Source organism: Homo sapiens, chromosome 8, assembly GCF_000001405.40.
Source record: "Homo sapiens chromosome 8, GRCh38.p14 Primary Assembly".
Classification (NCBI taxonomy): domain Eukaryota; kingdom Metazoa; phylum Chordata; class Mammalia; order Primates; family Hominidae; genus Homo; species Homo sapiens.
Window position 1 is genome coordinate 144,373,088 of NC_000008.11, and position 19,655 is coordinate 144,392,742.

The 19,655-nt window shown below is 57.2% G+C and overlaps 1 protein-coding gene across 7 annotated transcripts in view, besides 4 other annotated features; it reads left to right on the forward strand.

Moving 5' to 3' along the window:
- Positions 1–19,655, forward strand: part of ADCK5 (aarF domain containing kinase 5) — a 20,155-nt gene continuing 500 nt past the window's right edge. Inside the window, exons 1-13 of one of the 7 annotated variants that reach the window (XM_017013174.2) lie at positions 1–805; positions 6,300–6,403; positions 9,994–10,143; positions 17,584–17,659; positions 17,769–17,969; positions 18,047–18,187; positions 18,274–18,387; positions 18,493–18,624; positions 18,696–18,779; positions 18,854–18,935; positions 19,005–19,083; positions 19,167–19,258; positions 19,358–19,610. In XM_017013174.2, coding sequence (XP_016868663.1) covers positions 10,079–10,143; positions 17,584–17,659; positions 17,769–17,969; positions 18,047–18,187; positions 18,274–18,387; positions 18,493–18,624; positions 18,696–18,779; positions 18,854–18,935; positions 19,005–19,083; positions 19,167–19,258; positions 19,358–19,610 — 1,319 coding nt within the window. In that variant the 5' untranslated portion in view covers positions 1–805; positions 6,300–6,403; positions 9,994–10,078. Of the gene's footprint in view, positions 806–959; positions 1,021–1,738; positions 2,551–4,309; positions 4,404–6,299; positions 6,404–9,993; positions 10,144–16,175; positions 16,250–17,583; positions 17,660–17,768; positions 17,970–18,046; positions 18,188–18,273; positions 18,388–18,492; positions 18,625–18,695; positions 18,780–18,853; positions 18,936–19,004; positions 19,084–19,166; positions 19,259–19,357; positions 19,611–19,655 lie in introns of those variants that run through there. The other 6 variants (NM_174922.5, XM_011516907.4, XM_047421456.1 and 3 more) reach the window with 6 other exon arrangements.
- Positions 98–147: an enhancer, noted in NCBI's record as "active region_28096". NCBI's record gives its function as "activates an Ori minimal core promoter by ATAC-STARR-seq in GM12878 lymphoblastoid cells {active_cell/tissue: GM12878}" and the evidence as "EXISTENCE:reporter gene assay evidence [ECO:0000049][PMID:35858748]".
- Positions 628–1,047: a silencer, noted in NCBI's record as "silent region_19679". NCBI's record gives its function as "represses an Ori minimal core promoter by ATAC-STARR-seq in GM12878 lymphoblastoid cells {active_cell/tissue: GM12878}" and the evidence as "EXISTENCE:reporter gene assay evidence [ECO:0000049][PMID:35858748]".
- Positions 1,368–1,677: a silencer, noted in NCBI's record as "silent region_19680". NCBI's record gives its function as "represses an Ori minimal core promoter by ATAC-STARR-seq in GM12878 lymphoblastoid cells {active_cell/tissue: GM12878}" and the evidence as "EXISTENCE:reporter gene assay evidence [ECO:0000049][PMID:35858748]".
- Positions 15,362–15,863: an enhancer, noted in NCBI's record as "H3K4me1 hESC enhancer chr8:145613649-145614150 (GRCh37/hg19 assembly coordinates)". NCBI's record gives its function as "activates a minimal SCP1, AML or CMV promoter by ChIP-STARR-seq in primed H9 embryonic stem cells {active_cell/tissue: H9 hESC(primed)}" and the evidence as "EXISTENCE:reporter gene assay evidence [ECO:0000049][PMID:30033119]".

Below are 19,655 nucleotides of genomic sequence, written 5' to 3' on the forward strand. Positions count from 1 at the left end.
ACTTTCAGCTACTGTGGCACCCTTAGGCCAAGCTGACTCAGGAGCCCTCGTGGATTCCACAAGGATGGTGTTTTGTTTCATGCTCACAGTGGGGTCTAGGAGGGCTTGCAGGCAGTAAGTGCCAGGACCCGTGTTGGCGCCCGAGGATCCCTGGCATGTTCGGGGACGGTGAGGTCAGTCCAGCAGCGGTGAGGTCAGTCTAGTAGCAGTGAGGTCAGTCTAGTAGCGGTGAGGTCAGTCTAGTAGCGGTGAGGTCGTCAGTCCAGCAGTAGCCTTGCTGGCTGCATGGCATGCCCGGGCCTGGGCCCCTACCCAGCCAGGGCTGTCACAGAGTGAGTAGCAGCAGCCTAGGGCACTGCAGGAGGCTGTGACGTCACTGACGTTCCCATAAGAAGCTAAGTGACAGGGACCAAGGGTGGCTGCAAAGTGAACCCCAGAATCTGAAGCCCTGGCCCTGGGAAGGTCTCCCCATGGGCACGGGAGCTGCTCCAGGACCCCTTTGGCCACTCTCCTGGTTGTCTTCCAGTTCCCAGTCAGGGGCGTCATCTTGGCCCTCACACAGGCAGGTGGTGAGTTGGAGTCCTGAGGTTAAAGAGATTCACGCTAATCACACTATAGCACGGAGTGTTAAAGAGAGGCGGATACCGGGCCGTGAGGACCTCAGGAAGCCCTCAGCCCTCCCCGGATTATCCACGTGCTTCTCACAGCGGTCCTTCCGGCAGGTGCCTGCCCGGGGAATGCGCAGTGCGCCGAGGGCGGGACTGGAACCCTCCGCTCTCAGGAGGCGCGGTCCGGGCGCCAAAAGGTAAGCCTCTGGGGGCCGCCAGGGGACGCTGCCCCGCCGCGGAGGCCGGCACGACTCGGGGCGTGGCCTCCAGCCTCGCCCACCGCCCACGGGGCGGGGCTCTGGCTCCGGCGCGTGCGCACTACGCGCCCTCCCGCAGGGCCTGCTGGGCTGCGAGACGCTAAGCGGCGCCGGGCGGGAGAAGAGCGGAGCAGTGGTCGGAGATGTGGCGACCGGTGAGGACTCTCCCGGCCCGGGGCGCCCGAGATCCTGCACACCAGCCCCAGAGACCCGAGACCCGCAAGTCCCCAGACCCCGCCCTAGAGACCCTCGGGGCTTTTTCCCTCTTTTTTTTTGAGGCAGGGTCTCGCTCTGTCGCCCTGGAGCGCAGTGGTGCGATCTCCGCTCACCGCAGCTTCCGCCTCCCGGACTCAGGCGATCCTCCCGCCTCGGCCCCGCAAGTAGCTGACACCGCAGGCGTGACCGCTCCCGGCCGACTCTGTTTAGCAGAGTCGGGGTCTCGCCGTGTTGCTCAGGCTGGTCTCGAATTCCTGGGCTCTAGCGATCCGCCCGCCTCAGCCTCCCCGAGAGCTGGGATTTCAGGCGGGAGCCGCGCCCGCAGCCCTGACGCCGCCTGCACCGGGAGCCGCAGGGGCCCCTCCGCCCAGCCCGGAGGCGGGTGCCCGGCGCCCCGGAGAGCGCGATCTCCAGAGGGCAGGGGCCCCGCGGGGAAGCCTCAGGCGCCGTTCCCCTCGCGAGGCGGCCTCCCGGAATCACGGACGCCTCCCTGCCCAGCCTGCTGCCCCGGACCTCCTTCGCTCGCCTCCCCGCCGGGCCTGCCCTGCCCTGAGGCGGCGGGCGGGCGGGGGCTGCAGGCCGGGCTCTGCTCTGAGCGCCCCTGCGTCGTCTCAGGGGCGCGCCCCCCATGGCTCCGAGGCCCCCTCTCTCAGGCTCTCGGCGTCTCCCCGCTCCCACGTCGCCGCCGGGTCCCGTTGCTCTGTCCCTGCGGTTAGGACTGCGGGGGGGCGGGGCAGAGGCCTTGACACGCATCTTACCCACCCCCTTCCAGAAGAGATGAAGGGGCTCCCAGCGCCGTTCCTTTTTTTCTTGGAATGTCAGCAGAGCTTGTGTTTGGCGATAAGCTAGCCTTGCCCGTCTGGCTATAAATAGCACAGATGGACGGCCCACTCGTGCCCCAGCCCAGCTGTGTGACCCCAGGGTGCTTCATGGGCCGGGGAGGTGGCCTTCAGTGCAGCTCCTTCCAGGTGACAAAGTCTTCCCACGTGCAGGCCACTCAGTCCCTCCCCAGCCCCAGCGAGTGGACAGGTCGGTTTAGCCTCTGGTTAGGAGCTGCTCATGGCCAGTGAGCAGGGCTGGGTCCAGGCGGCGTTTGAGGACTGGCTGGGGCTGACAGGGTCACACACCCTGGGAGAAGGACAGTGTCTGTGGTCGCCAGACCCACTTACCCTGCCCAGACTCCCAATCTGTCTCTTCCTAACTTTGGGGACAATTATGTGCCTCAGTTTCCCCTCATGTTGAGGTGCACAGTGCTGTTGGGTTCCCCAGGCTCTGGTCATCCGTTCATGGTTTTTAGTTTCTGGCATCATTCTGAGACTCGGCAGTTGCTTCTCACTGCTGCGGCCGGGCCTGTCTGTGGGAGCTGCATCCTCCTCATCTGCAGGCGCTGGAAAACCAGACACGATCGGACATGCATGTGGTTCTGCGGCCAAAGCACGCCCTTTGGTTGTGAACTTCATGATACCTGTGTGAGTGTTACCACTCAGAATACTTGCCGCTTTCAAGGTAGTCAGCTGTGGTCTAGAGTCACTCTGGAACGGGAGGTGTTTCCGTTTGTGCAGACAGACTGCACACACTCACCATAAGAAAGCATGAGAGGTTCTGACAGGGGGCACCCGTTTCATCTTGTCCAAACTGGAAGGCTTTGGAAGTCAGGGGAGCTGCAGGGATAAGTGTCACCAGGGCCGTCTCAGGTGTGTTGGGGGAAGGCCCTGGGGACCCACCGTCTAAAAGACGGCTTATCTTCTGGCAGTTTAGAGGTCGTGTTCTGGGTGCGGTTGGGGCTGTGTGTCACGTGAGAATTGCCCTGGATTGGGCTCTGGGAAGTCCTTCTGGGAGATGCAGCTGCAGGCTCGCCCCCCAACCCATAACCTCTCTGGGCCTTGGGGACCTCTCCTGTGTGATGGGAATTTCAGAGAGGATAGTCTGGGTGTGCTGGGCGCTCCACATTTGGAGGAGACAGGCTCTTGCTCAGCCTCATGGGCCCTGGCAGGCACTGTGGGTTATCAGTGCCTGTTGCTTGGCAGGGCCATGTGGGGTTCAATTGAGTCCTGTGCTTCACAGCTGTTGGTCTCATTCGGCAGGCATTCATTGAGTGCCTGCTTGTTCAGAGATGGTTGAGAGGTGGCCCTGCTCACAGTCTAGTGGGAGGACAGATTCCGTAAGTTGACAGTCACGCTGGTGTGTGATGAGGACAGTGGCAGGATAGGACCACGGTGAACAAGGTGGAGCGGGACGTGAGCATGAGCAAGGCTGCTGGTGGACCAGGGTAGGGTGATGGTGGCCCGGGGTCTACTGGAGGGATCTCTGTCCTGGATAAGAATGGGAGTGAGAGACGCAGCTGGAGCCCCTTCTGCAATGCTGGTTCCTGAGGAAAGAGCAGAAAACTGTTGTTGGAGACAGCAGTCAGCCAGCCATGACTTTCCTGGCCTCACCTGTTTGGTGGAGCCTGTGGAAACAGCTTGCGTTGCTGGTCATGGATGAGGTGGGCAGTGGCTGGGATAGCCACCTGGAGGTAGCTCCCTTGCAGCCACTTACGAGCTGCTGTTCAGAGTCTCTCCACAGTCCGTGGGCACGACTGCCTGATCTCGGGGCCTCTAGCCATGCATGCACTGGCACCAGAGGTGGCTAGGGTCAGGAGGTGCAGGCTGGGTAGGCAGCAGGTGGATGGCCCGCCTACGAGTCGCTGCCCGGCTGCCTTGGGTTTTCCTTGTGAATCAGCACTTGCTGCATGTGACCTCGCCAAGCAGGGGTTTCTGTCAACCCGCCCTCTAGGGATAAGAGGTCATGGACTTTTCCCTTTGGCTTTCATGTTGTTTGGAGTCCTCAAAATTTTCTCCAGGGCTCTGAGCTCTGGCCAAAAACCAGCTGGCAAGTCAGTTCCTTACTAGGTCCAGTGTTGAGGACCATGTTAGCGTCTGTGCCACGGGGCATGACTGGCTATGCACAGTCCTTTCCACCCAAACCGTGACTTGTGTGAAGAGCTCTCAGTTGGGGAATTTGGGGAGTTGTGAGACCTCATCCTAGGTCAAGTGTGATTGGGAGACCAAGGTTTCCAGTGAGAGCTGTGGTGTTTTCTTTCTTTTTTTTAATAATACTGTAAGTTCTATGTGGTGTTTTCATAGTCACAAAAATAAAGCAGGGCCATGTGTCAAGAGTCTCATGGTGGGGCTTCTTTATTTATGTATTTATTTTTCTAAATGGAGTCCCATTCTGTTGCCCAGGCTGGAGTGCAGTGTCTCAATCTTGGCTCACTGCAATCTCCGCCTACCAAGATCAAGCGATTCTCCTGTCTCAGCCTCCCAACTACCTGGGATTACAGGTATGCGCCATCACACCTGGCTACTTTTTTTGTATTTCTAGTAGAGACAGGGTTTCGCCATGTTGGCCAGGATGGTCTTAATCTCCTGACCTCATGATCCACCCGCTTTGGCCTCCAAAAGTGCTGGGATTACGGGCGTGAGCCACCGCGCCTGACCCTTGGGACTTCTTTACGTGTGTCCTGCTAGCTGCAGCATGTCCTCTTCTCCTCCAAGTAAAAGATGTACAGGGTCCCTGTCTGTGGGGTCTCAGTAAGTTGTAAGTTTCTTCATCTGCTTTCAGAACAGTGACCTACGTAGGCCACTCCTCCCATCCGGGCGTCCACCTTCAAGGTTGGCGTCTGCTGTATGATTCCATGGCTGGGCACTGTTGCCACTTCCTTCGGAGATGAGGACTGCTTTCCTCTGGCCACTGGTCAGTGGTCTCAGCAGCAGGAAATAGTAAAATAGTAAATGACAGGTCAGGGTGCTGCCAAGAGAGTGCAGGGGCAGGGATGGGGTGGGTCCCATCCCAGATGAGCCAGATGGTGATGCCATCTCTTCCTGCAGAGACTGAGGGGACATTCAGAGACGGGGTATGTTTGATGCCCTGTCAGCATCTGAGGCATCAGCCCTGGTTAAGCTGCGTTTAGCCTTCTCTCCTATGATACTTTGACACTCAGCCTTGCTCCCAGGAGGTAGGATAGTGTTTCCATTACGGAATCAAAGATGGGAACCTGGCTTCCTGGCATGATCCCAGCGGTGCTGGCAGTCTTTGCTGACTGACTTGGTGATGTGGTTTGGCTTTGTGTCCCCACCCAAAGCTCATCTGAGTCGCGATTCCCAGTGTTGGAGGAGGGGCCTGGTGGGAGGTGATCTGGTCATGGGGGCAGATTCCCCCTTGCTGTTGTGGTGATAGTGAGTGAGTTCTCAGATCTGATGGTTTAAAAGTGTGTGTGGCACTTTCCCCTTTGCCCTCTCGCTTGCTCTCTCTCTCTCTCCGCCCCCCCCACTGCTTCACCCATACTGTGCTTGCTTCCCATTTGCCTTCTGCCATGACTGTAAGTTTCCTGAGGCCTCTCAGTGGTGCTTCCTGGACAGCCTGCAGAACTGTGAGTCAGTTAAACCCAGGCCAGGTGCGGTGGCTTACACCTGTAATACCAGCACTTTGGGAGGCTGAGGAGGGCAGATCACTTGAGGTCAGGAGTTCTAGACCAGCCTGGCCAACATGGTGAAACTCCGTCTCTACTAAAATACAAAAATTAGCTGGATGTGGTGGCGTATGCTTGTAGTCCCAGCTACTCGGGGGGCTGGGGCAAGAGAATCACTTGAACTCGGGAGGCGGAGATTGTAGTGAGCCGAGATTGTGCCATTGCACTCCAGCCTGGGCGACAGAGTGAGACTCCATCTCAGAAAAACAAACAAACCTATTTTCTTCATAAATTACCCAGTCTTGCTTGGGTAGTTCTTTTTTTTTTTTTCTTGAGATGGAGTTTCGCTCTGTTGCCCAGGCTGGAGTGTAGTGGCGCGATTTCAGCTCACTGCAACCTCTGCCTCCCGGGTTCAAGCGATTCTCCTGCCTCAGCCTCCCGAGTAGCTGGGATTACGTACATGCACCACTATGCCCAACTAATTTTGTATTTTTAGTAGAGACGGGGTTTCACCATGTTGATCAGGCTGGTCTCAAACTCCTGGCCTCAGATGATCCACCCGCCTCGGCCTCCTAAAGTTCTGGGATTAAAGGTGTGAGCCCCTGTGCCCGGCCTGGGTAGTTCTTTAGAGCAGTGTGAGAATGGACTCACACATTAGGTTTAGAGTTAGGCTGCCTCAGACTCCAGCACATGTAAGTGCTGGTACTGGTTGAGGGCAGGGGCGTGTCCTGGCCTCGTTCGACCCCACACAATTTCCTCTCTTTGCAGGTGCAGCTCTGTCATTTCCACTCTGCTCTGCTGCACAGCAGGCAGAAGCCCTGGCCGTCCCCTGCTGTGTTCTTCAGGAGAAACGTCAGGGGCCTTCCTCCAAGGTAACGAGTCCTCCACGGGCATGCGCCTCTCACCCAGGCAGGCATGGATGGCGTCTGTGTGCATGCAGAGGTGGCAGTCGAGGGCCCAAGGCTGGACCTTCTCCTGTACCCACAACCAAGGCAGGATATGTTTGCTCCTCAGTGCGGTGCACTGGGACCAAAGACCCCCAGGGACCCATGGGACCGTGCTCAGGGGTGGGCACACCCTGATCACAGCATTTAGAGCAGACAGCTAGCAAATCGGGAAGGGTGCACATGGAGCGCCTGCTCTGAAGAGCAAACCGGGTCATTCAGAGCATGGAGGAGGGCGGGGTGACTATAGGTGGGAGTCACACAAGAGGAAGAGCAGCAAGAAGAGATGTGGAGGGATGGGTCTGAGCAGAAGGAAAGGCCAGACAATGTCCTGAGGCCAGCAAGTCCGGACCACAGTGCGCAGATGGACGGTGGCAAGGCAGGAAGGCCGTGGAGGGTAGATGTGGCCAGGCAGGGCAGGCAGGGTGAGCTGTCCAAGCGCCACTGGCTCAGTGAACCTGGCAGGGGTCTCCTTCTCCCGAGAGCTCTGCAGTAGGACAACCTGTGTCCCTGGGACAGATGCGGCCAGCTACAGAAACAGATGGGTGCTCAGGCGCCTGCGGCTGGGTGCAGAAACAGATGTGCACTCAGACACCTGCTGCACTCAGGATTATGGGCCGGGTGTAGAAACAGATGTGTGCTCAGGCACCTGCTGCACTAAGGATTATGGGCCGGGTGTAGAAACAGATGTGTGCTCAGGCACCTCCCGCAGTCAGAATTATGGGCCGGGTGTAGAAACAGATGTGTGCTCAGGCACCTCCCGCAGTCAGAATTATGGGCCAGGTGTAGAAACAGATGTGTGCTCAGGCACCTGCCGCAGTCAGGATTATGGGCCGGGTGTAGAAACAGATGTGTGCTCAGGCACCTGCTGCACTCAGGATTATGGGCTGGGTGTAGAAACAGATGTGTGCTCAGGCACCTGCTGCACTCAGGATTATGGGCTGGGTGTAGAAACAGATGTGTGCTCAGGCGCCTGCTGCACTCAGGATTATGGGCTGGGTGTAGAAACAGATGTGTGCTCAGGCGCCTGCTGCACTCAGGATTATGGGCTGGGTGTAGAAACAGATGTGTGCTCAGGCGCCTGCTGCACTCAGGATTATGGGCTGGGTGTAGAAACAGATGTGTGCTCAGGCACCTGCCGCACTAAGGATTATGGGCTGGGTGTAGAAACAGATGTGTGCTCAGGCACCTGCCCCACTCAGGATTATGGGCTGGGTGTAGAAGCAGATGTGTGCTCAGGCACCTGCCCCACTCAGGATTATGGGCTGGGTGTAGAAACAGATGTGTGCTCAGGCACCTGCCGCACTAAGGATTATGGGCTGGGTGTAGAAACTGATGTGTGCTCAGGCACCTGCCCCACTCAGGATTATGGGCTGGGTGTAGAAGCAGATGTGTGCTCAGGCACCTGCCCCACTCAGGATTATGGGCTGGGTGTAGAAACAGATGTGTGCTCAGGCACCTCCCGCAGTCAGGATTATGTGCCGGGTGTAGAAACAGATGTGTGCTCAGGCACCTGCTGCACTAAGGATTATGGGCCGGGTGTAGAAACAGATGTGTGCTCAGGCACCTGCTGCACTAAGGATTATGGGCCGGGTGTAGAAACAGATGTGTGCTCAGGCACCTGCTGCACTCAGGATTATGGGCCGGGTGTAGAAACAGATGTGTGCTCAGGCACCTGCCGCACTCAGGATTATGGGCTGGGTGTAGAATCAGATGTGTGCTCAGGCCCCTGCTGCACTCAGGATTATGGGCCGGGTGTAGAAACAGATGTGTGCTCAGGCACCTCCCGCAGTCAGAATTATGGGCCGGGTGTAGAAACAGATGTGTGCTCAGGCACCTGCTGCACTCAGGATTATGGGCCAGGTGTAGAAACAGATGTGTGCTCAGGCACCTGCCGCACTCAGGATTATGGGCTGGGTGTAGAATCAGATGTGTGCTCAGGCCCCTGCTGCACTCAGGATTATGGGCCAGGTGTAGAAACAGATGTGTGCTCAGGCACCTGCCGCACTCAGGATTATGGGCCGGGTGCAGAAACAGATGTGTGCTCAGGCACCTCCCGCAGTCAGGATTATGGGCCGGGTGTAGAAACAGATGTGTGCTCAGGCACCTCCCGCAGTCAGAATTATGGGCCGGGTGTAGAAACAGATGTGTGCTCAGGCACCTGCTGCACTCAGGATTATGGGCCGGGTGCAGAAACAGATGTGTGCTCAGGCCCCTGCTGCACTCAGGATTATGGGCCGGGTGTAGAAACAGATGTGTGCTCAGGCCCCTGCTGCACTCAGGATTATGGGCCGGGTGTAGAAACAGATGTGTGCTCAGGCCCCTGCCGCACTCAGGATTATGGGCCGGGTGTAGAAACAGATGTGTGCTCAGGCACCTGCCGCACTCAGGATTATGGGCCGGGTGTAGAATCAGATGTGTGCTCAGGCCCCTGCTGCACTCAGGATTATGGGCCGGGTGTAGAAACAGATGTGTGCTCAGGCCCCTGCTGCACTCAGGATTATGGGCCGGGTGTAGAAACAGATGTGTGCTCAGGCACCTGCTGCACTAAGGATTATGGGCCGGGTGTAGAAACAGATGTGTGCTCAGGCACCTGCTGCACTAAGGATTATGGGCCGGGTGTAGAAACAGATGTGTGCTCAGGCACCTGCTGCACTAAGGATTATGGGCCGGGTGTAGAAACAGATGTGTGCTCAGGCACCTGCCGCACTCAGGATTATGGGCCGGGTGCAGAAACAGATGTGTTCTCAGGCACCTCCCGCACTCAGCGTTATGGGTTTCCTGCTGGTTTCAGCATATATGGAGCTGCTACTGTGTTCAGCATAGGTAGAGCTCCTGCTGTATTCAGCGAGTATTGGGCTCCTGCTGTATTTGGCAAGTATTGGACTCCTGCTGTATTCAGCGAGTATTAGACTCCTGCTGTATTCAGGGAGTATTGGGCTCCTGCTGTATTCAGCAAGTATTGGGCTCTTGCTGTATTCAGCAAGTATTGGGCTTCTGCTGTATTCAGCGTGTATGGTGATCCTACTATATTCAATATGGGGCAAGCTCTGTTTCTTGCTCTGTACTGTCATGCGACTCAGCACGTGCCGACCGCAGCATCTTCTCTGTCTCTGCTGTGCTGATGACCATCCAGTTGAATCCTGCGAGGTGGACGGTGGTTGTGATTCTCCACAGTGTAGGAGACCACGGTCCGTGAGGAGCACAGACCTGCCATTGAGCTGCTTCCTTTACCTGAGGAGCCATTTCCATGTCCCATGGCCCATTGGCTGCGTCTCTGGACAGACCTGAATGAGACCTGCCCCTTATGGCCATCTGGTGCCGGGCTTTGGTGCAGGGGCATCTGGTGCAGGGGCTCAGGGAAGGGGACGCTGATGCGGTGGTGTTCTCTGCTGACCACACGTCAGAATGGCTGTGCACACAGGAGTGAGACGTGGTGCTGGGGGAGGTGGGGGCAGAGATCAGAGCCCAGCTGAATGTGGGGGGCGGCGCCTCCAGGCTGCATTGTCTCTCCTCAGGTTCTCCAGCCCCACACCCCTGTGGAGGAAGGTGCTCTCCACCGCGGTAGTGGGGGCGCCCCTGCTCCTCGGAGCCCGCTATGTCATGGCAGAGGCACGGGAGAAGAGGAGGATGCGGCTCGTGGTGGATGGCATGGGGCGCTTTGGCAGGTAGGAGGGCCTGGCGGCAGGCAGGGGTTGCGGCGTGGCGGGCGGGGTGTGTGCGGTGCAGGATTGCCTGCTCCAGATGCCTTCACAGACGAGGGGCGTGAGCCTGGGAGGCCTGCAGAGCTTGCTGAGGATTTTACAGCTGCTTTTCAGGCGTCCTTTCCTACATGGGAAGGTGCTGGCTGAAGGGACAGTGAGCACTGGCGGGGCCTATAGGAGGTGGTGTAGACAAGGGTCCTCCACATTGGATGCAGCCGCCACAGGCCCTTCCCTAGTTCAGCCTTGGCCTTAGTGGGGAGGCGCTCCAGCCCTGGGCCCGTGCCTTCTCCCTCAGGCTTCTAGGCTGGCAGAGAAGCAGCTGCCCTGCCTTCCTTCTCTTCTTGCCCCATTCCAAGGTTTGGGCCTGGGAGAGGAGGCTGCCTCTGTCCCTTGCCCTGGAGATGGGCAAAATCGGGTTATTGCTGTCAGGGCCCTTTCTTCCTCCATTACCTTACAGTGAAGAACTCAGGGGGAGGGTGAGGACACCTTCTGTTGGAACCCTTGGGTGGGCATTCCTGCTTTTGTCAGATCCCGGAATTCCTGCAGCCACAAAGCCCTGCTAGCCTGAGCCTGGTGGAACCAGCTCTTGGCTTTGAGAGAAACCTGTTAGCCCAAAGCCCTTTTTTTTTTTTTTTTTTTTTTTTGAGACAGAGTCTCGCTCTGTCACCCAGGCTGGAGTGCAGTGGCGCAATCTCGGCTCACTCAAGCCCCGCCTCCCTGGTTCACGCCATTCTCCTGCCTCAGCCTCCTGAGTAGCCGGGACTACAGGTGCCCACCACCATGCCTGGCTAAATTATTTATTTATTTATTTATTTATTTAGTATTTTTAGTAGAAACGGGGTTTCACTGTGTTAGCCAGGATGGTCTCGATCTCCTGACCTCGTGATCCACCCGCCTCGGCCTCCCAAAGTGCTGGGATGACAGGCGTGAGTCACCGTGCCCAGCCCCCAAAGCCCTTTTGAATGGAGCGTCAGGGCAGGAAGGAGGCAGGGAGGGTGTGGTCCTGTTCTGCCTGCCTCCGAGCATCTGCCAGGCCTAGGTCAGTTTCTCAGCAAGTGCCTCGGCTTCTGGTGCCTTCAGAGATTTCACCAGAAGTTTCACAGAAATTTCCTCCAGCAGTGAGTGGAAGCTTGTGGATAGCTGGGCACCTGAGGATTTTCAGCCTAAAAGACAAAACAGTCGTTCCCCACGTGGGTCTCCCTGGCATCTGGTTTTGCTTGGAGTTCCTGCTGTCCCTGCCTGCAGATTTTGGGTGGCATTGTCTGTCTTGCAGGGCCATCCAGTCTCGCAGCCTGGGGTGGGTGACGACAGAGCCTCGGGTCCTCTGCCTTTTTCTCGTGACCCTCCGCTGCAGTGCATGCAAGGGCCACACAGGGCTGCCAGCCACCGTCCCCTGCAGCCTGGTTCTGAAATGTCGGCTTGGCAGGCCTGGGTTTGTCTCACCCTCTATTTCATGGCATGCAGCTGTGTCTGGTGTCCACCTCCTCGGCCACCGGCTTGGTGAGCCTGCGTTTTGGGCTCACTTTGTGGGAAAACATCTTCTCACAGCTCGCTCTCAGGGGCTGAGCTGGGGTTGCAGGGAGGGACCTCTGTTGTTAATTTTCCCAGCAGTCTGCACGTTCTCCTTGGCTCTAAGCCGTCACGGTTGCATAGACAAGCAGGCCTGTGGAGCTTCCCTGGCAGGGCACAGGGTAGCCTGGGAACACATCCTGGGTGACAGCAGCACCCATGCAGGGGCCCAGGAAGGAGCGCGGGTGAGGAGCATGGCGGTGCCAGTGCACCATGAGAAAAGGCAGCAGAGGTCAGAACAGGCCACAGGTACCCAAATGATCAGGGGCTGCCCAGGAAGGTGGAAGGTTTGGGACAATGTTTCTCTGCCTCAGAGCCCTGTCTTTAATCTCTGCCACTCCTTACATTTTCTTTTTTTTTTTTTTTTGAGACGGAGTCTTGCTCTGTCACCCAGGGTGGAGTGCAGTGGTGCGATCTCAGCTCACTGCAACCTGTGCTCCCTTGGTTTAAGCGACTCTCCTGTCTCGCCTCCCAAGCAGCTGGGATTTCGGGTGTGTGGCACCACGCCCGGCTAGTTTTTGTATTTTTAGTAGAGACAGGGTTTCGTCATGTTGGACAGGCTGGTCTCCAACTCTTGACCTCAGGTGAACTGCTCAGCTCGGCCTCTCAAAGTGCTGGGATTACAGGTGTGAGCCACCACACCTGGCCCTAAACTTAAATCACCACCAGGCGCGGTGGCTCACGCCTGTAATCCCAGCTACTTTGAGAGGCTGAGGCAGGGGAATCACTTGAACCTGGGAGGCGGAGGTTGCAGTGAACCAAGATCACGCCATTGCACTCCAGCCTGGAAGACAGAGCCAGACCCGTCTCAAAAAATAAAAATAAAAAATAAAATCACCTATATGTGGCCGGGCATGGTGGCTCACGCCTGTAATCCCAGAACTTTGGGAGGCCGAGGTGGGTGGATCACGAGGTCAGGAGATCGAGACCATCCTGGCTAACATGGTGAAACCCCGTCTCTACTAAAAAATACAAAAAATTAGCCGGGCTTGGTGGCGGTTGCCTGTAGTCCCAGCTACTTGGGAGGCTGAGGCAGGAGAATGGCGTGAACCCGGGAGGCGGAGCTTGCAGTGAGCCAAGATCACGCCACTGCACTCTAGCCTGGGTGACAGAGCGACTCTCTGTCTCAAAAAAAAAAAAAATCACCTATGTGTTTTGCTTTCCCCCACCGCCCCTTTTTCTTTTATTTTTTGGAGACAGTCTCACTCTGTTGCCCAGGCTGGAGTGCAGTGGCTTCGTCTCAGCTCACTGCAACCTCCATATCCCAGGTTCAAGCAATTCTCATGCTTCGGCCTCCCGAGTAGCTGGGACTACAGGTGTGCGCGCCACCATGCCCGGCTAATTTTTTATATTTTTAGTAGAGATGGGGTTTTGCCATGATGCCCAGGCTGGTCTTGAACTCCTGAGTTCAGGTGATCCGTTTGCCTCAGCCTCCCAAATGGCTGGGATTACAGGTGTGAGCTATCATACCTGAACTAAATTTAACTTTTTTTTTAAAATTTTTTAATTTTTTATTTAACTTATTTTTTTTTATTTTTTGAGATGGAGTTTCGCTCTTGCTGCCCAGGCTGGAGTGCAATGGTGGGATCTCGGCTCACTGCAACCTCCATCTCCCGGGTTCAAGCGATTCTCCTGTCTTAGCCTTCTGAGTAGCTGGAATTACAGGTGCCCACCATCACGCCCGGCTAATTTTTGTATTTTCAGTAGCAATAGGGTTTCATCATGTTGGCCAGGCTGGTCTTGAACTGCTGACCTCAAGTGATCTGCCCGCCTCGGACTCCCAAAGTGCTGGGATTACAGGCATGAGCCACCACGCAGGCCATGCCTGGAGTTTTTGTTGGGGTATTAATACTTGGGCGGGATTGATTGAAAATCTCCAGTTTCTCAGAAAATCCCAGGAATTCAGTTTCCAGCCCCGGTCCTCCCGCTCCCATCCCCGTGGGCCCCAAAGTGGTGGGTCTTCGCCCTGAGTCCCTTCTTAGCATAAGCCCTCAGGGCCACCATGGAAAACAGAGGCACTCCTTATCACTCAGGAAATCCCAAGGACTTAAGAAGGGACAAAGGTCAGTCCTCTGTTTGGGTAAAGTTAATTCTTCATTGCACATGATTGGACACCTTTGAAGATTACAGGCTTGTAAGTATTGTATAACAAGAGTCAGCAAACTGTGGTCCCTGGGCCAAGTGCAGGGGCCTAGTGTGGCAGCTGTCTGATTTGCAAATAAAGCTTTATTGGAACACAGCCATGCCCATGCATTGCCTGTGACCACTTGGTGCACAGTTGCCCATGTGCTCATGCGTGGCCAGAGTGCCTAAAATAATTACCATCTCATCTTTTACAGAAATATTTCACTGCTTCTTATTTTGTCAGTGTGGGTTTGTCTGATGTTTGCTTGTGGTCATATTCGTCATCTGTTTTGGCAGGAATCACACAGGAGTGACACTGCTTCTGTCCTGCCGGGGGCACATGATTTCGGTTTCCCCCATTTGATTCCCTTGTAATTAGCCGTATGGAGGCAGTTGAGATGATGTGTCTGTTCTCACTGCTCCTCCACCCAGCAGTTTGTTTGTTTCTTTATTTATTTATTGAGACAGTCTTGCTCTGTCACTCAGGCTGGAGTACAGTGGCAACATCTTGGCTCACTTCAGCCTCTGCCTCCTGGGTTCAAGCAATTCTCCCAGCCCCAGTCTCCCCAGTAGCTGGGATTACAGACACCTGCCACCACACCCAGCTAATTTTTTTTTAATTTTTAGTAGAGATGGGGTTTCTCCATGTTGGCCAAGCTGGTCTTGAATTCCTGACCTTAAGTGATCCATCTGTCTCAGCCTCCCAAAGTGCTGGGATTATAGGCATGAGCCACTGCGCCTGGCCTCCACCCAGCAGTTTAGCACTCATTGATACTTTTTTTTTTTTTTGAGACAGAGTTTCACTCTTGTTGCCCAGGCTGGAGTGCAATGGTGGGATCTCCGCTCACTGCAACCTCCACCTCCTGGATTCAAGCGATTCTCCTGCCTCAGCCTCCTTAGTAGCTGGGGATTACAGGCACACGCCACCACACCCAGCTAATTTTGTATTTTTTAGTAGAGGCGGGTTTCTCTGTGTTGGTCAGACTGGTCTTGAACTCCTGACCTCAGGGGATCCGCCCGCCTTGGCCTCCCAAAGTGCTGGGATTATAGGTGTGAGCCACCACACCCGGCCTCCAACATTTTGTGAAAAACTTCAAACATACAGCAATGTTGAAAATGCTCTGTGAGGCAATGTGAAATGCAATGTGAAAATGCTTTGGGAGGCCGAGGAGGGCGGATCACGAGGTCAGGAGTTCGAGACCAGCCTGACCAACGTGGAGAAACCCCATCTCTACTAAAGATAGAAAAATTAGCTGGGCATGTGGTGGGCACCTGTAGTCCCAGCTCCTCGGGAGGCTGAGGCGGGAGAATTGCTTGAACCTGGGAGGCGGAGGTTGCAGTGAGCCTAGACTGTGCCACTGCACTCCAGTCTGGGCGACAGAGCGAGATTCCATCTCAAAAAAAAAAAAAAAATTAAATTCCTTCTCCCCCAAGCACAAGTCTGTGGGACTTTTTCACATCTTTAAGTTTTGTTACAAAAGTGTTGTGTTTACTATAACAAATTTTAATAGTAGAAAAGTTAGAGCCGGGCACGGTGGCTCACGCCTGTAATCCCAGCACTTTGGGAGGCCAAGGTGGGCGGATCACGAGGTCGGGAGATCGAGACCATCCTGGCCAACACGGTGAAACCCCATCTCTACTAAAAATACAAAAAAATTAGCCGGGCGTGGTGTTGGGCGCCTGTAGTCCCAGCTACTCTGGAGGCTGAGGCAGGAGAACGGCGTGAACCTGGGAGGCGGAGCCTGCAGTGAGCCAAGATCGCCACCACACTCCAGCCTGGGCGACAGAGCGAGACTCCGTCTCCAAAAAAAAAAAAAAAGAAACCGAAACCCTGGCCTAACCCAAGCACGCACTCCAGATGCTCTACGGGGGCCAGAGTGGGGCCTGAATGGCCGGGGGGTCGCCCTGGGTTGATGGGGGACACAGAGTCCACCTGAGCGCCAGAGCTGCGCTTCAGGAATGACTGTGGGCCCTGTCCCCAGGCAGGTACGTGAGCTTCACAGAACGCAGGGACAGGCCTCTGGCCATGGCCAGCCTTGGAGAAGCCACTCTGACCTCAGCCCCTCCCTGTGCACCTGTGTGTGGTCTGCCCGCTGCCTGGCGCCTCATTCCAGGGCTGCCCAGCTGGTCCCCAGAGTTCTCCCAGGGCTCCCACCCTGATATCCTCCTAACTGGGGCCAGGCCTGGGGACACCCCTCTACCCCATCCTCTTGCCTAAATCTCCCCCAGGAGCCCAGTACCTGCTCAACAGATACCCAGGATGTCCCCCACTTCCTGCCTTAACTGGGCTCTCTTCCCTGCAGACCTTGCCTCCCCAGGCCTTGGAGACCCACCCTCCTGGTGTCCTCCTCTCTTCCTAGTGGACCTCAGGCTGCAGGTGACCTTGACCCTCCTGTGACCTCTGCTGCCTCAGCCCTGCCCCCTTGCTGCCATCCTTTACCTTCACAGACAGCCTTGGAACCCCATCTCTCCAGAGGATGCCACCGTCCATACTGTCCCCTACCCCATCTCACCTGGGCACCCTTGAGGGTGGCAGGGAGTGAGGGTGGCATGGACACAGGCTGCCCATTCTGCAGATCTTTTTTTGTTTTTTGAGACGGAGTCTCGCTCTGTCGCCAGGCTGGAGTGCAGTGGCGCAATTTTAGCTCACCGAAACCCGCCTCCTGACTTCAAGTGATTCTCCTGCCTCAGCCTCCTGAGTAGCTGGCACTACAGGCACGCACCACCATGCCCAGCTAATTTTTGTATTTTTAGTAGAGACTAGGTTTCACCATGTTGGTCAGGATGGCCTCAATCTCTTGACTTTGTGATCTGCCCGCCTCGGCCTCCCAAAGTGCTGGGATCATAGGTGTGAGCTACCAAGCCCAGCCTCTTTTTTTTTTTTTTGAAACCGAGTTTCGCTCTTGTTGCCCAGGCTGGAGTGCAATGGCGCGATCTTGGCTCACTGCAACCTCTGCCTCTCGGGTTCAAGCAATTCTCCTGCCTCAGTCTCCCGAGTAGCTGGGATTACAGGTGTGCACCACCACACCCGGCTAATTTTTTTGTATTTTAAGTAGAAATGGGGTTTCACCATGTTGGCCAGGCTGGTCTTGAACTCCTGACCTCTGGTGATCCACTCACCTCGGCCTCCCAAAGTGCTGGGATTACAGGCGTGAGCCACTGTGCCCAGCTCTGCAGATCTTTTTTGGACGGAGTCTCGCTCTGTTGCCCAGGCTGGGGTGCAGTGGTGCAATCTCAGCTTACTGCAGTCTCCACCTCCTAGGCTCAAACGATCCTCCTGCCTCAGCTTCCTGAGGAGCTGGGACCACAGGTGTGCACCACCGTGCCTGCCTAATTTTTTTGCATTTTTGGTAGAGACAGGGTTTCAACATGTTGCCCAGGCCAGTCTCGAACTCCTGAGCTCAAGTGATCCTCCCAGCACAGCCTCCCAATGTGATGGGATAATTGACATGAGCCACCACACCTGGCCCCGTTCTACTGATCTTGAGCTGAGACTGACCTGCAGGGCCACAGGACACCCCACGAGCTCAGCAGCACCCCTTGTGCTCACACAGGCCTACGCGGCTGTAGGCTGGACCCTGGCTTGGCCTCACCCTTGGGACATGAAGGGCTGGCCGGGGTGAGGCTAGACCATGAGGGCTCTGACAAGAGGACCAAGCACCGGGGCCCCGAGCCTGCCCCGCTGGAGACTGAGGCCACCTCTGCCCGCAGGTCTCTGAAGGTCGGCCTGCAGATCTCCCTGGACTACTGGTGGTGCACCAATGTTGTCCTTCGAGGGGTGGAAGAGGTTTGTCCTGGTGCCCTGGGCACACAGTGGTGGGCATGAGGTGGTGGGCTGGGTGGGACTGAGGAGGCAGCCACCTGTCCCCATGTGTTCTCCCCATGCCTGTGGTCAGAACAGCCCAGGCTACTTGGAGGTGATGTCTGCGTGTCACCAGCGGGCGGCTGATGCCCTGGTGGCAGGGGCCATCAGCAACGGGGGCCTCTACGTGAAGCTGGGCCAGGGGCTGTGCTCCTTCAACCACCTGCTTCCCCCCGAGTATACCCGGACCCTGCGCGTGCTAGAGGACAGGGCCCTCAAGCGGGGCTTCCAGGAGGTGAGTGTGCGCTCAGGCCGAGGGAGGTGGGGCCTCCAGCAGTGGCCCCAGGCTGCTCTGAGCACCTGTCCTTCCAGGTGGATGAGTTGTTCCTTGAGGACTTCCAGGCCCTCCCCCACGAGCTCTTCCAGGAGTTTGACTACCAGCCAATTGCTGCCGCCAGCCTGGCACAGGTGCACAGAGCCAAGCTGCACGATGGCACCAGCGTGGCTGTGAAGGTATATGGGGGCTGCCTTGTTCAGCAGTGGGCTGGGGCGGGGCACAGTGGGGCCCCAAGTTCTCACCACACCCTCGCCCAGTGCAGGTGCAGTACATCGACCTGCGGGACCGCTTTGATGGGGACATCCACACCCTGGAGCTCCTGCTGCGGCTCGTTGAGGTCATGCACCCCAGCTTTGGCTTCAGCTGGGTCCTCCAGGTACAGCCCCACCCCTTCCCCGGCCAGCAGGAGCAAACACGTAGGCAGAGCTGGTAGGAGCAGCTGGTAGGCAGAGCTGGTCTTCAACCGCCATCTGGCCCCCAGGACCTGAAGGGGACCCTGGCCCAGGAGCTGGACTTCGAGAATGAGGGCCGCAACGCAGAGCGCTGTGCGCGGGAGCTGGCGCACTTCCCCTACGTCGTGGTGCCCCGCGTGCACTGGGACAAGTCCAGCAAGGTGGGCTGGGCCAGGCCCTTGGGGTGGGCACAGCGCTGGGCCTGCTGAGCCCAGCCTCTTGCTCTCCCCAGCGCGTGCTCACTGCCGACTTCTGCGCCGGCTGCAAGGTCAACGATGTGGAGGCCATCAGGAGCCAGGGGCTGGCAGTGCATGACGTGAGTGCGGGGGGGCGGGGGCGGGTCAGGGCGGGCTGGTGCTGTGTCCACTGCAATGCCTCTCCTCTCCCCAGATAGCAGAAAAGCTCATCAAGGCCTTTGCTGAGCAGATATTTTACACCGGCTTCATCCACTCGGACCCACATCCTGGCAACGGTAGGAATTTACCCCAGGGGTGGGGGTCTCAGGGTGGGCGCAGCGCGACCTAAGAGGCTGTATCCCTAGTTCTGGTGCGGAAAGGCCCGGACGGGAAAGCGGAGCTGGTGCTGCTGGACCACGGGCTCTACCAGTTCCTGGAGGAGAAGTGAGCGCGGGTGGGTGGGCGTGGGGCAGGGCAAGCCTCTCCTGCCGCAGGGAGCTCATGGCTGCGGGCCCATCCACACCCAGGGACCGCGCAGCCCTCTGCCAGCTGTGGCGGGCCATCATCCTGCGGGACGACGCCGCCATGAGGGCGCACGCAGCCGCACTGGGGGTGCAAGGTGAGGGCGTGCGGGGATGGCTGGGGCACCACAGAAGGGAGTCGGGCGGCGCGGAACCCACTCAGAGCCCCCTCCCTCCCTCCCTCCCTCCCTCCCCAGACTACCTCCTGTTCGCCGAGATGCTCATGCAGCGCCCCGTGCGCCTGGGGCAGCTGTGGGGCTCGCACCTACTGAGCCGCGAAGAGGCGGCCTACATGGTGGACATGGCCCGCGAGCGCTTCGAGGCCGTCATGGCGGTGCTCAGGGAGCTGCCGCGGCCCATGCTGCTGGTGCTGCGCAACATCAACACCGTGCGCGCTATCAACGTGGCCCTCGGCGCCCCCGTGGACCGCTACTTCCTTATGGCTAAAAGGTCGGTGGCCCGAGGAGGCGCCCGGGCCGTGGTGGGGCTGGTGTG